The following is a 13,391-nucleotide window of genomic DNA, read 5'->3' on the forward strand; positions in this document are numbered from 1 at the left end:
CACAATGGGAAGTGAAGTGTTTGCAACAACCAGAACATTTAGGTTATAAAGTGTCAGAGCAGATAATTTAGGCTAAAAGAAACAAAGTTAAATGATTTGGTGGGGGCTTGATTTCTCTGGATTGACCCCCCTGGACTATTGGCTGTTTCCTTCACTTCCAGACTGTCTGGTAAGATTTTTCTACAGAGGTACCTTCTTATTAATGAATTCTTCCCATCACACCCACTCTGTTTGAATTTCTGAATTACCTTCTCCTTTTGGTTTCTGTATCTCAACTTTCTTCTTATTGAGTCTTCTCTGACAGTTTCTTTGAGGGTATTGCTATCAGAGTCAGACATGCCCATGACAAGATTCCAGGCTGTGTAATCTTGAGCAAATCAATCTTGCTGGTCTACTTTTTTTCTTAAAAGAACAAGGAAGCTTGCCTTGCAGGGTGGTTAGAATTTGAGACAATGTATGTTGCATGCCCAGCAGGTGGCAGGTAGCTAATAACAGGTGTGTGCTTGCTCTACACCAGGGATCCCCTCGGTCTTTGGTCTTTGCATATCATAGATACTCAGTAAGCGCTCTCCCAAAGGATTACTGACTTAACAGGTAGGGTAATGTTTATAGCCAAGGGGAGGTGAGTGTCATCAGGCCCAGGTTTGTATGCCTATTTCTACTGAATTGTCGCAAAGTTATGTTTCATCCTATTTACCAAGTTGTATTTACAGAAGACTAGTCCTGTTATAACAAAGCCCATTGAAACAACACCCAGGAAGTAGACCACAAGAAGTCAGTGGGTATCTTACTCTGTGTCCTGCAGGGGGATCTGGAAATGAATAAGGGAGAGAGAAAATGTGGAGTGCAGAGGATGCTGCCTGGAGGTGAGACTTTAACCACATGATTATTCTCAGTTATGGAGCAATGGCTTTGTTCCAGGCATTGTCTCCAATAGTCACAATCACACCATAGGGCTGATGTTTTTTCTATCCCACTGAGGTGTAAACAGAGGCCCCAAGAGGTTGCATCTGGAGGTGCGTGAGCAAAATTTGGAGAGAAGTACCAAGTGGGCACTTCACAACAGGTGAAGAGAATGAAGAGATGGATAAAGATAAGTGTTAAGCACTTTTTGGTGGTACTGGAACTTTATCATGTCTCTTGATTTTTAAGAAAAGTGGCCTATTGACTAGAATTTGAGACTTTCATTATATTGTTCAGTTGGCTTTTGCATGTATATTGCTTTTATGTTTTTGATGCGTTTTTTCAAAACCCTTTAAATTAGTTGGATTTTATGTTGTTCTTAAGTTTGATGAGGTAGACACTTTTTTAGCTGGGAGGAATAGAGAGGCAGTGAGTGTGTTAACAGAACACAGCAACCTCAGACTCCAGCCCCCGCTCTCCTTTTATCCAGCGGTGTGACGTTGAGCCTGATGCATGACATCTTGGCAGCAGAGGTGCTGGTGCTCTGTCAGGCTCCGGGACCCCTGACTGAACATGCCTAGGGTCATGAGGAGGTTTTTGTTCCTGTAACATTGGCCACAACTGCACAGCCAGTGGGTGAGGATGCTGAGATACAAACTGAGAATTTTGCACTTCGACCTAGGCTCTTTGCTAGATCAAACTTCTTTTGATGTCTTAGCCATGATCCCTCTGAGATATCTCTCTCCAAGTTATTAATATATCTGTGTTTCCCATCATGTTTCCCCTTTTGTCTTGGCTTCAAAGAAGCTCAGAGCTAAATTTATTGCTTGATTATAGTTGCTGGATTGGCCAAGGTTTAAAATTTATGTTTTTAACTTTTTTATGTGATTCCCTCCCCATTTTCATTTTGATAGTCTTATTGTTTATTGTATATCACCTTAAATACTTTGAGAAGTAGATCGGGTCTACGTTTAAAAATCGCGTATGTGGGAGGAGAGGGCCATTCGGCAAATGGGAAAGAGATTGGGGTGACTTTGGCCAAAAAAGTTTGGGATAGATTTTTGTATTCTCTTGTATTATGTTATTCCCTATCAGATGGTCTTTGCAGCTCATTTTTCTGTCTTCTTCTGTGTGGTCAGAATCAGGGGAGAGTTTTTCTTTATAAAAATGATTTGTTTTCCTGATAGAACAGTGCTGGTGGGTAACATTCAGTTCTGACCTTGTAGGCAGACCTGGGATTCCCAGAGGGTGCAGGGACCGCAGCACTCACTCTTCTTTGTGACAGGCCTGAGGCAGCTTCCCTGGGGTCCCCAGCCTGCCTCCTCCACGGCTGCTATGGCCGTGGGCGCTGAGCACGTGCAGCTGCTGCCTGATGCTCCTGGACAGGGAAGGATAGATTTTGGGCATAGTTACTAGGTGTCACTGTCTCCTTTTTTCAGCCTGGCTTTTACAAGTAGTTGTAATTTACTTGACAAACACTTATTTGGCATTTCCTTCAATACGCTGGGTACTGAGATGGTTACTGCATTTTTAGGCATTTAACGGGGATAATAGCATCATCGTTAATAATTACAAATATGATCGATCCATCATATAGGCAATACATTTCAGAAGAATATTATTAAAAAGACTCATAGTAGTGGGTGTATGCAGCTGTAGTAGAGGAGCTGAAGCCACTGAGTTACCCCGGGGTTCAAGATGGGGAGCAGCATTCCCATCTGTAGGTTGTGTTCTTGAGTGGGAAGGCCTCCTTGGATACCTCTCGACAGTAATTCCAGGTACTTGAGCTCACAAAGAAAGTGTCTGGGGCCCTCAGCCCTTTGGTGTGGCTCCCAGGGACGCCTGAGTTATTTCCAGAAGTGGCGTGGTGGGTAGAGTGTGAGGGCAGGCCTCGCCTCCCTGCCCCTCTCCCCTGTGTGGCTTTTCCTTTCTGTAATTCAACTGATTGCTTTTCCTTCCAAATTGCTGGCTTAAGCTTTATCTTATCTAATTTTATCTCCTCCAGCCTTGTACGTCCAGAGCATCATTAGGGCCTGTGCCCATTCTGTCCCTCCCACTTCTCTTGGTCTCCCTCCACGTCCTGAGGGGATAGAAAGACGGAGTCTGCATAACCTCCGCATCTTCCTGCCTGGGAGGGCGGCTAGGGTGGTGCCTGCAGCCTCTGGAACCTCTCCATTCTGTGTGCCCCTCAACCTCATGGACATACTGGCGTTTCAGGACCTGGCCCTGCTTTCTCTGTCCCCGTCTCTCTCTGCCCACTGGTTTCTGTGACCCACGCCCTTCCCACCCCATTCTGCCCCTTTTCCTCACTTGCTTTTCTTACCTTCTGTCACATTCACATGCTCACTATTTCTTTTTACTCCAAGCATCTGTTCCTCTAAATCATGAACTGTAGTTGGCATAATTAAATATGTAATGTGTTTATTTTAATATCAATATGTCTTTTCATACACATATTAGTAAGAGACTTGGCTGTCAGCGCCGGGCCAGATCACCATTTGCAGATGTCCACTCACGCCAGCTCCCCCACGGAACGTTTCTTATGCACCTCATCAGTTCTCTTTCTCCTTGTCTCTCTTTCTGTCTCTGTGTCTCTTTGTTCTGTGTACATCTCTCTGTATGTCCCTGGCTTCCTCTCTAACACAAATTGCTCCAATAGGCCGGCACCTTTTCCTCTCCGTAAACCCCAGTTTGTAGGTACACACAGGCACCCAGGCAAGGGTAGAGAAACCAAAGAGCGCTTGTTCACACTTGCTCACACAAGGACCAGCAGAGACCTAGAGCTGCATGCCACGTCTTTATTATCCTTGCTGCTAGCTCCTCTGGTACAGCAGCACTGTGACAGTTTGGAATTTGAGCCTGGGCACTCTCCCCTGAGTGCATCGGTGACGTAAAGGCAGGCAGGCAGGAGCAATCACAGCCTCCCGTCGCCTGTGTGTCCCAAGTGAGCCCCCTCCCCAAAGGGATGTAGGGAAGCCAGTCCATCTGCAAGGTATCTGGAGTGGAGTGACAGGAAGCAGAGGATCCAGTATTATTGGAATAGATTACATGGTATGTGCTTGTCACTTCCGTTTAAAGGTAAATACAAATCTGTCTTTGGCTTAGAATTCTAGCCTCCTGACCTGGGGGGTGAATATTGACTGGCAGGCTTTACCTCCCATGTAGAAAAGAGTTGCGTGCCAGGGTTATAAATTAGAGCTCTGCATTGGATGGATCTTCTTAATGTTTTCTGTGGAGTGGAATTAGAACATGTTGTTTCTTTTGAGGTTGCAAAAAGCAAACAAGGATCCCTTTCCTCCCAGACTAGTGGGAAGTAGACTAATTACTTGAAATCCTGTTTTATCAGCCATAAAACTGAGATGAAAGCTGGGGCAGTTATGAAGATCCTGATATATCCTAGACCACAAATTTCTATTCCTTTTCTGGAAGAGAAAAACTGCATTTTAGGTTTAGATAATTTGGTCAAATTTTTTAGGCTATCAAATGCAAAGATTAAGTTTCTAGAGTCTTGAATTTTAGCACAGAGATAGCATCACTTAACCTTCCCGAGTGAAAATTCCTGCCTTCTAGGTGGTGGGGAAGATCAAACGAGCTGTGGATGCCAGCATACTTAATATGTGTTCAGTAGATATTAGTGACAGATTCAGTGGATATGACGGCTGAAGGCCTGGGTGGCTCTTCTGGGCTTGTTGGTTGGTTTCATTATAATGTATATGGTTGGACCTAAGATAACCCATGTTTGTGCTTCTGTGGACACTGGTGCTTTCAGGGTCTTAACTATATTGTTTTCATGGAAACTTTGAAAGGACTCATGGCTCCAAAAGGGGCTGAAAAGTTTTGAATTTCCTTTTTTCTTTCTTTGCAAAAGATTTTACAGCTTAAGTCATGTAATTAATAACAGGGGAGGTTAAGAGTCAAAGATTTTTCTCTTACCCTGGTCATTTTCGAAGCTGCACTTGGCATGGGTTGAAGCAAATTTGTGTCTTCTTGACCATTTACTTTTTTTTTTAACTGAGAAAATAGATTCTATCTCTAATGAAGTAATTGTAAACAGCCTTGTTAACATATGGTACTGATTTTTTCACAGAAGCATTGTTGAAATGCATGGGAACTACCAGGTTAAAAGACATAAAAATAGACAATCTATATAGTCCAGATGGTATCTCCAAACTAGGGGATCCAAGTGGCATGAGAAACTGTCTAGAGCAGGAGTGGCAAACACGGCCCCCGGGCCAACACGGCCTTATGCCTCTTTTTGTATGGCCTGTGAACTAAGAATGGTGTTTTACATTTTTTAATGTTTGAACAAATAGCTGAAGAATAGTAATATCTTGTGACATATAAAAATGGTACAAAATTCACATTTCAGTTACCATAAGTAAAGTTTTATTGGAACACAGCCCCACTCATCCATTTACGTATTATCTATGGGTATTTTCCTGCTACAATGGCAGAAATGAGTAGTTGCCTAAGATATTTGCTGTCTGGTCCTTTACAGAAAAAGTTTGCCAATCTTTGGTCTAGATGGTGAGGAATTTTAGTTCTCCTATGTGTTAACTGATACATGATTTCGTTTTGAAGTTCAGCTTTTAACTTTCGGTTATTTTTCTTTCTACTTTTATTTTTTACTAATAAAGACAGAAGAAAACCATGGCTGGTTAGTCTCACTGCTCAGACTATGCCTTCTAATGTTTTTGATAATAAAAGTTAAAATGCACATGCTAATTTTATTTCAAACAGTATAAGAAAGCAAAATCTCTCTCCTACATTGTCCTTTATTCCAATTCCTTTACCCAGTGTTAACATTTAATAGTTAACATTCCAAAAAATGTTTTGTTTATACTAGAATATATATTCTTTTCAAAAGCTTTTCTTAAGCTTAGTTTACTAGTAAAAATACTCTTAACCTTTTACTATGAAAAAAATTCAAATATGTACAGCACAAGACAGAAAAGTGTAATGAACCCTGTGTACCCATCATTCAGCTTTCATAACTCTTCGTCTTATAGCCAATCTTATTTAATTTGTGGAATCCATTTCCTGTATTATTTTGAAGCAAATCTCAGGTATATCATTTTTTTCTCAGGTATATCAGCAAATCTCAGGTATATCATTTTATCTGTAGATATTTCAGTATGTATCTCTAAAATATAATAACTTTTAAAAAACATAACCACAGTCTGCTAACACATGAGAAAAAAATAATAATTCCTTAGTGTATATTTGAGCACTGAGTATTACCTATAATTGTCTCCCCACACCCACAGTTGTCTTTTAAATGTCATAGTTTATTTTACTCTCTTTGAATTAGGATACAGGTAGGTTTCACACAGTGTGACTTGGTTGTTGTCCTTTAAGTCTATTTTAATCTGTCTGTTCCCTCTGTACACACTCTTTTATCCTCCTTGCTACTTATTTTTTAAAGAAATGAGGTTACTTGTTAGAGGTTTTACATCCCCATAGTATTGTTTAATATGTTCCTCTCTCCTCTGAATTTCCTGTGAATTTGGTAGTTGGACCTACAGGCTCATAACATTCAAGTTTTGTTTTATTTTATTACTATTTTTTAGCTAGGCTACTTCACTGGTGACATTGAGTCCTTCCAAGAGGAGGCACTTAGTATCTGATTGTCCTTTTTTGTGATGTTAGTACTCATTGATGTTTAATGTGTAGATCAAGTCATTCCTTATGGGTTGTAAAATGCTGGATACTCTTAGTTCTATGATTTCTGTGACATTTATTGGCTTAAATGTTTGATTTTTCTCCATATTTACCAGTTTTTGAAGTTTTTTTTTTTTTTTTTTTTTTTTTTGACAGAGTCTCGTTCTATCTCCCAGGCTGGAGTGCAGTGGGGTGATCTTGGCTCACTGCAACCTCTGCCTCCACAGTTCAAGCGTTTCTCGTGCCTTAGCTTACTGAGTACCTGGGACTACAGGCGCACGCCACCATGCGTGCCATGTCTGGCTAATTTTTGTATTTTTAATAGAGATGGGGTTTCACTGTGTTGCCCAGGCTGGTCTCAAACTCCTCACCTCAAGTGATCCGTCCCCATCGGCCTCCCAAAGTGCTGGGATTACAGGCGTGAGCCACAGCGCCTGGCCTGTTTTTGAAGTTTTGACTTAACTTATTAGTACCCTTTAACAGTGACTGGTTTGTTTTTTGGTTTTTGTAATTTTTAAAAGTATGATATATTTTAGCATATTTACTGTGTTCTGCTGAAGTTACTGACCCTCAGATCATCCCCCTTGTGGTAGTGTGAACCTTCTCACATTGGTCCCTGTGTCTGTTTGGCATGACCTAGTAGTCTCTGATAGCTTTCTCTCTTTCTGGTACAACAAGATGTTTTGGATTCATCTTACACATTTCTTGCCCTGGATCTGGAATCAGCCATTTTCTTCAAGGAGTCAGTCCTGCTGCTTTTTAGTGGGAGATAGTATTTCAGAACTAAATTTTGGGTTCAGAGGTACATATCCATAAACAAACAGCTTTTTATAGTAAAAACACATAGAGAAAATGCATACAGTACAACACCAATGTAGCCTCAAAAAAGAACACAGCAGAGCACCGCAGGGGATCCCTTTCTGAACACAGTCTTCTCCCACTTCCCTCAGTCACCACTCAGTGTTTATGGTAATGACTTCCTCGATTTTCTTTCCTGTTTGATCATTTAAGACAAAATACGTCCCTAAGCAGTATCACTTGGTTTTGTCTGTTTTGAATTTTATTTAAATGGATCATGCTTCCTGAATTTTTTTTTTTGTTGTTGTTGTTCGAGACAGAGTCCTGCTCTGTCGCCCAGGCTGGAGTGCAGTGGCGTGATTTCAGCTCACTGCAACCTCCGCCTCCCGGGTTCAAGCACTTCTTCTGCCTCAGCCTCCCTAGTAGCTGGGATTACAGATGCCCAACACCATGCCTGACTAATTTTTGTATTTTTAGTAGAGACAGGTTTTCACCATGTTAGCCAGGCTGGCCTTGAACTCCTGACCTCGTGATCTGCCCGCCTCCGCCTCCCAAAGTGCTGGGATTACCAGCATGAGCCACCGTGCCAAGCCTCCTGGATTCTTTTATATCTTGCTTCTTTCATTCAACATGAGATTCATTTGTTTTCATTTTCTTTGCAATATGATACTCCATTGGATGAGTAGACCACAATCTATCCATTCTGCTATTGATGTACAGTCAAGTTGTTTCTAGTTTTGTGCTGTTAAAGAATTGCTGCTAACCTTGTATCTGTCTCTGGTTGCACATGTGCATATGTTTTTGAAGGGTATATACATAGAAGTCGAATTGCTGGGTTAGATGCTATGCATGTCTTCTTTCCAATGTGTCATGCCAGCTGATATGCTCACCAACAGCGTGTGAGCATTCCTGTTGCTTCACATTCTTGCCCACACCTGGAATTGTCAGACTTTAACATTTCTGTTAGTTTGTTGATGGAAAGTGATATCTGACTGTGACTTTGGTTTGGTGTTTCTCTGATTACCAGTGAGGTTAAACACTTCTCCATATGTTTGAGTATTGGACTTTTCTCCTTTATGACATTTCTATTCAAGTTGTTTCAGTAAGTCTTTGGTTCATTTTCCCATTGAGTTATCTTTTATTGATTCATAGGCATTTTTATATGTATTGGGTACAGGTTTTGATTGGTTGGGTGTGTTGCGAATTTCTTCTTCCACTCTGGCTTATCTTCACTTTCTTTATGGTGTCTTTTGATGAACACATTCTTTTTTTTTTTTTTAAACACAAATGCTATTTATTTGTTTGTTTGTTTATTTATTTTTGAGACGGAGTCTCACTCTGTCACCCAGGCTAGAGTGCAGTGGCATGATCTGAGCTCACTGTAACCTCTACCTCCCAGGTTCAAGCGATTCTCCTGCCTCAGCCTCCTGAGTAGTGGGGATTACAGACATGTGCCACCATGCCCGGCTAATTTTTTTTTTTTTTTCTAATGGTAGAGACAGGGTTTCACCATGTTGGCCAGCCTGGTCTCGAACTCCTGACCTCAAGCAATCTGCCCACCTTGGCCTCCCAAAGTGCTGGGATTACAGGCGTGAGCCACCACGCCTGGCCACAAGTACTTTTAAAATTTTATTGTAGGACGTCTTCCTCCACTTTGTTGGGATATGTGGTATATAGTAAAGATTTCAAATATAGTAATTATTATTATATACTATTTAGTATTATATGCAACTTATATATGATCTTTTAAAAAAAGTCTTATATCTTTGCCTTTCTATTTAAATTTCCTTTAAAAAAAATTGACACCAAAGAAATAATAGTGTCACATTGTTTGCACCTTACTTTTTCACATACAATTTTATTCTGGAGCTCTTTCTACATTATCCATATGCCAGTCGGCTTCATTCTTTGTCATGGTGGCATGATATATGTATATATTTTTTTGAGATGGAGTTTTGCTTTTGTCACCCATGCTGGAGTGCAATGGCGTGATCTCGGCTCACTGCTACCTCCGCCTCCTGGGTTCAAGCGATTCTCTGGCCTCAGCCTCCCAAGTATTTGGGATTACAAGTGCACACCACCATGCCTGGCTAATTTGTGTATTTTTAGTAGAGACAGGGTTTCACCATGTTGGCCCGGCTGGTCTTGAATTCCTGACCTTAGCTGATCCATTTGCCTCGGCCTCCCAAAGTGCTGAGATTGCAGGCGTGAGCCACTGTGCGCGGCCGGCATGGTATTTCATTGACAGAATTAAGGTTGTTTTTCTTGTTTAAAATTGTGCTGCAAAAAACTCTGGTACATAATCTTGACATAATTTTGCGAGTACATCTATAAAGCAAATTCTAAACATGGGAACTTCTGGGTCAAACAATTTGATTGTTTTAAATATTAATAGACAATATTTACTCCCAGTTAATTCATGTAAAATAGCAGTTCATACAGCCTAAATTAGGAGGTCTAACTGGCCATATTCAGAGAAATTATCTGGATATGAAGTAATTTTTTGTTAGGTCTAACCTGTATTAATGACAATATGATTACAGTATTTTCAAAAGATTGACACTTAGCCATTCTCCATGTTTCAAAGGAATAAATGCTAATTTAGCCAAATAATAGTTTGGAGCAAATTTTGTGGGAGAGCCTGCGCTTGTGTGGAGCAAATCCCCTGTCGTGTTGTGAAATGGGCGCGGAGAAGCCTGTTCTAGTGACTGTCGATGCTCTTTGTGACAGCTAACGTGAGGGCTCTCCGGCTCCTGAGTCATCCTCCTCCCCAAATGGGGGACTGACCAGTCTTTTGGATCTCTGATTTTGTTAAAGCGGAAATGTTTTTCTCTCCCATTCCAGTAATTCTTTGAGTATATCTGTTTTTCTTCAGATGTTTCGTGAGCACCTGTGTTCTGGGGAATAGTGAACACCGTGAGGAAGGTGGAGTGTTGACTATGCCATCCACTGTTTGTCTTCAAGCAGATTACTGTCGCGTAGGGGAGTTGTGATGTAGTGTATTTGTATAACGGTCTTTTACCATAAGTGGGTATTACTCCCTCCAGGACATCATTTAAGTCAAGGCAGCTGAGACAATCACAAAAGACCACGTATTTTATGATTCCATTAATATGAACATCCCAAATAGGGAACTCTATAGAGGCAGAAAGTAAGATCAGTGATTGTTTCAGGCAGGAGAGAGTGGGGTGATAGGGAGGTGATAGCTAAAAGATACAGGGTTTCTTTTTGAGGTAATCAAAATGTTCTAAGATTGACCATGGTGCTGGTTGCATATATCTGTGAATATATTAAAAGCCATTAAATTGTGTACTTAAATGAATTGCATGGTATGTGAATTATGTTTCAATGAAGCTATTAAAAAACATTAAAAACAAGCAAAAAATGCAGGTTTTTTTTTTTTCTCAGTTGTCTCAGTGAAGTTTTCCCTGTAGGTTTCATAGTTACTTTAATTGAATGGATGGTAAAGAGTTGTCTGGTCTGGGCTAGATGCAGTGGCTCGTGCCTGTAATCCCAGCACTTTGACAGGCCAAGGAAGGTGGATTGCTTGAGCCCAGGAGTTTGTGACCAGCCTGGGCAACATATGGAGACTTTGTCTCTACAAAAATAAAATAATTAGCAGAGCATGGTGGTGGTGTGGCTGTAGCACTAGCTACTCAAGAGGCTGAGGTGGGATGATCACTTGAGCCCAGGAGTTCAAGGCTGCAGTGAGGTTTGACTGTGCCACTACATTCCAGCCTGGGCAACAGAGCAAGACCCTGTTGCTTAAATAAATAAATAAATAAATAAACAAATAAATATTCAAGAATTCTCAGGTCTGGATGTAGGGTTAGATGCAAGTTAGATATAAGTGAAATAGCCGGTTTACTTACCAATAGACAGGAAAGTAGTCTTTTGTGATTCCCTTCTCCACTAAATACAAATCAGTGCTACTCAGGGGCTCTTTAAAGAAGGAGTTGGCCAGGTGTGGTGACTCACGCCTGTAATCTTAGCACTTTGGGAGGTTGAGGCGGGTGGATCACCTGAGGTCAGGAGTTCGAGACCATTCCTGACCAACATGGAGAAACCCTGTCTCTAAAAATACAAAATCAGCTGGGCGTGGTGGCGCATGCCTGTAATCCCAGCTACTTGGGAGGCTGAGGCAGGAGAATCGCTTGAACCCGGGAGGCGGAGGTTGTAGTGAGCCGAGATTGTGCCATTGCACTCCAGCCTGGGCAACAAGAGCGAAACTCCGACTACATGTACCCTAAAACTTAAAGTATAATAATAATAAAATTAAAAAAAAAAAAAAGAACAGCAGCAGTAAAAAATAAATAAAGAAAGAAATAAATAAATAAATGAAGAAGTCAATCGGTACCATAAGAAAGGACAAAAACCAAAACAAACCCAAAGCAAAACCAAAAACTCCCCACAAACCAGCCTCCCCTAACCCTTTTAACTCAAAGCTTCGTAATGTCTCTGAATTTATAATTACGATTTTAAAGAGCACTGTTTCTCATGCCCCATCCCCCAACCCATTTCGGGAGTAAACCTTTTCTGTCAGGGTGAGGAGAAAGTGGGTAAAGGACTTCAGCATTTACAGTTGAGTTAGTATTTGTTGTTCTCCAAATGTGCAGGATTCAGGGCCCTCTCTTTGGTAGGTGTGTGGGAATCTATTGGTATTTATTGGGTTCTTAATGCCTGCCTGTCCTTGTGTAAGACACTCTGGCAGTACCCAGGAATACATCAACCAGCTGAGACAAACATGAAGAATAATTATTGTCCTAATAATAGCTAACATTTATTGATTGCTTACTATGTGCTAAGCCTCTAAATTTTAAAGTTGTTGTAAAAGCAGGAACAAAGCCTGTGACATGTACCATTGTCTTATTTAGCTCTCAGAATCACAGTGGTAGAGGCACTCTCATTATTTTACAGGTGAGGAAACTGAGATTCAGAGGGCTTAGATATCTCGTCCAGGGTCACATGGCTGGTAAATGGTAGATTCATACCCAGATCAGCCTAACAGATCTGAACTTTTTCTTGTTGGGGGAGAGGGGCAATGGAATTTTTAACATTTTCATTGCACAAATAATGCAAATTAGGCAAGAAAAGCACAAAGAAGAAAATAAGAATCATCCATATTTCTACACACAGATTTGCTCATCTTTAATGTTTCTGTGTGTTTCCTTCGTTTGTGTTTTTATGCCTTCTGATTTATTTTTATATCCAGTCAATCTCTGTCAGCCCATCAGTGAAGGCCATTGCTAATTCATTAAAGACCTTGGGACTGAGGACATACAAATCATAATCAGGATATTTCATGGACTGGGGATTGTGGGTGGGGGAAGGATGCAGATCTGACAAATTCATGCTGTGGTCTAACTCAGAGAGGGTCATCTTGTCCCAAAGTGTCCCCTCAGTCTTTCTCTCCTTCCCCAATTAAGACTGTCTTGTGAAATAATTAAAAATATCTATAAAGGGGCAAATTTTGCAGCACATATAATTATAGAAATTATATAGTACAATATGGACAAATGCAGGGCTAACAGTAATTCTTAGGGCTTTCACAGATGGGCAAGGTTGGGGGTAGGGACCGGCTGGAGGCAAAGAGAAGGCTTCCTGAGACAGAGGGGACTGGGGCTGGCTCCCACCCAGATGAAAACCTGCAAATCTCAGGGAGAAAGCTTCATGCACTATGAAAAGGTCACAAGAACCTCCAGTCCTGGGATGATGCAGGCAAGGGAAAAATCAAATGGGACTTTCCCCATTGAGTCATCAATCATTTGCCTGGTGATTGGTGGGAGTCACCTGTGTGTTGTGCCTGTTCCCAGTGGGAGGTTAGAGCTTCATCTCTGAATTAATATCAAAAGAAGAGCTGTCTTTACAAATCAATATGCTTCTCACAAGGGGATGGCATATTTAGATGCAGAGGTTGGCATGGCGAATCGGATGGTTTGAGGGTAGTGGGGCATCTGGGTTAAAGGCCCTGATGTTCTACAGACTTGGGTTTGAATCTTAGCTGTGCTACTCTCAAGCGCTGTCACCTG

General features: G+C 41.2%; 1 protein-coding gene across 21 annotated transcripts in view, besides 1 other annotated feature; it reads left to right on the top strand.

The window, feature by feature from the left end:
• The window catches only part of CACNA1D (calcium voltage-gated channel subunit alpha1 D), a 319,123-nt gene that overhangs the window by 36,842 nt on the left and 268,890 nt on the right, over positions 1–13,391 (top strand). The gene's annotated exons all lie outside the window — the stretch shown is intronic.
• Positions 273–774: an enhancer, noted in NCBI's record as "NANOG hESC enhancer chr3:53565752-53566253 (GRCh37/hg19 assembly coordinates)". NCBI's record gives its function as "activates a minimal SCP1, AML or CMV promoter by ChIP-STARR-seq in primed H9 embryonic stem cells {active_cell/tissue: H9 hESC(primed)}" and the evidence as "EXISTENCE:reporter gene assay evidence [ECO:0000049][PMID:30033119]".

Source organism: Homo sapiens, chromosome 3 (assembly GCF_000001405.40).
Source record: "Homo sapiens chromosome 3, GRCh38.p14 Primary Assembly".
In the NCBI taxonomy this organism is placed as follows: Eukaryota; Metazoa; Chordata; class Mammalia; order Primates; family Hominidae; genus Homo; species Homo sapiens.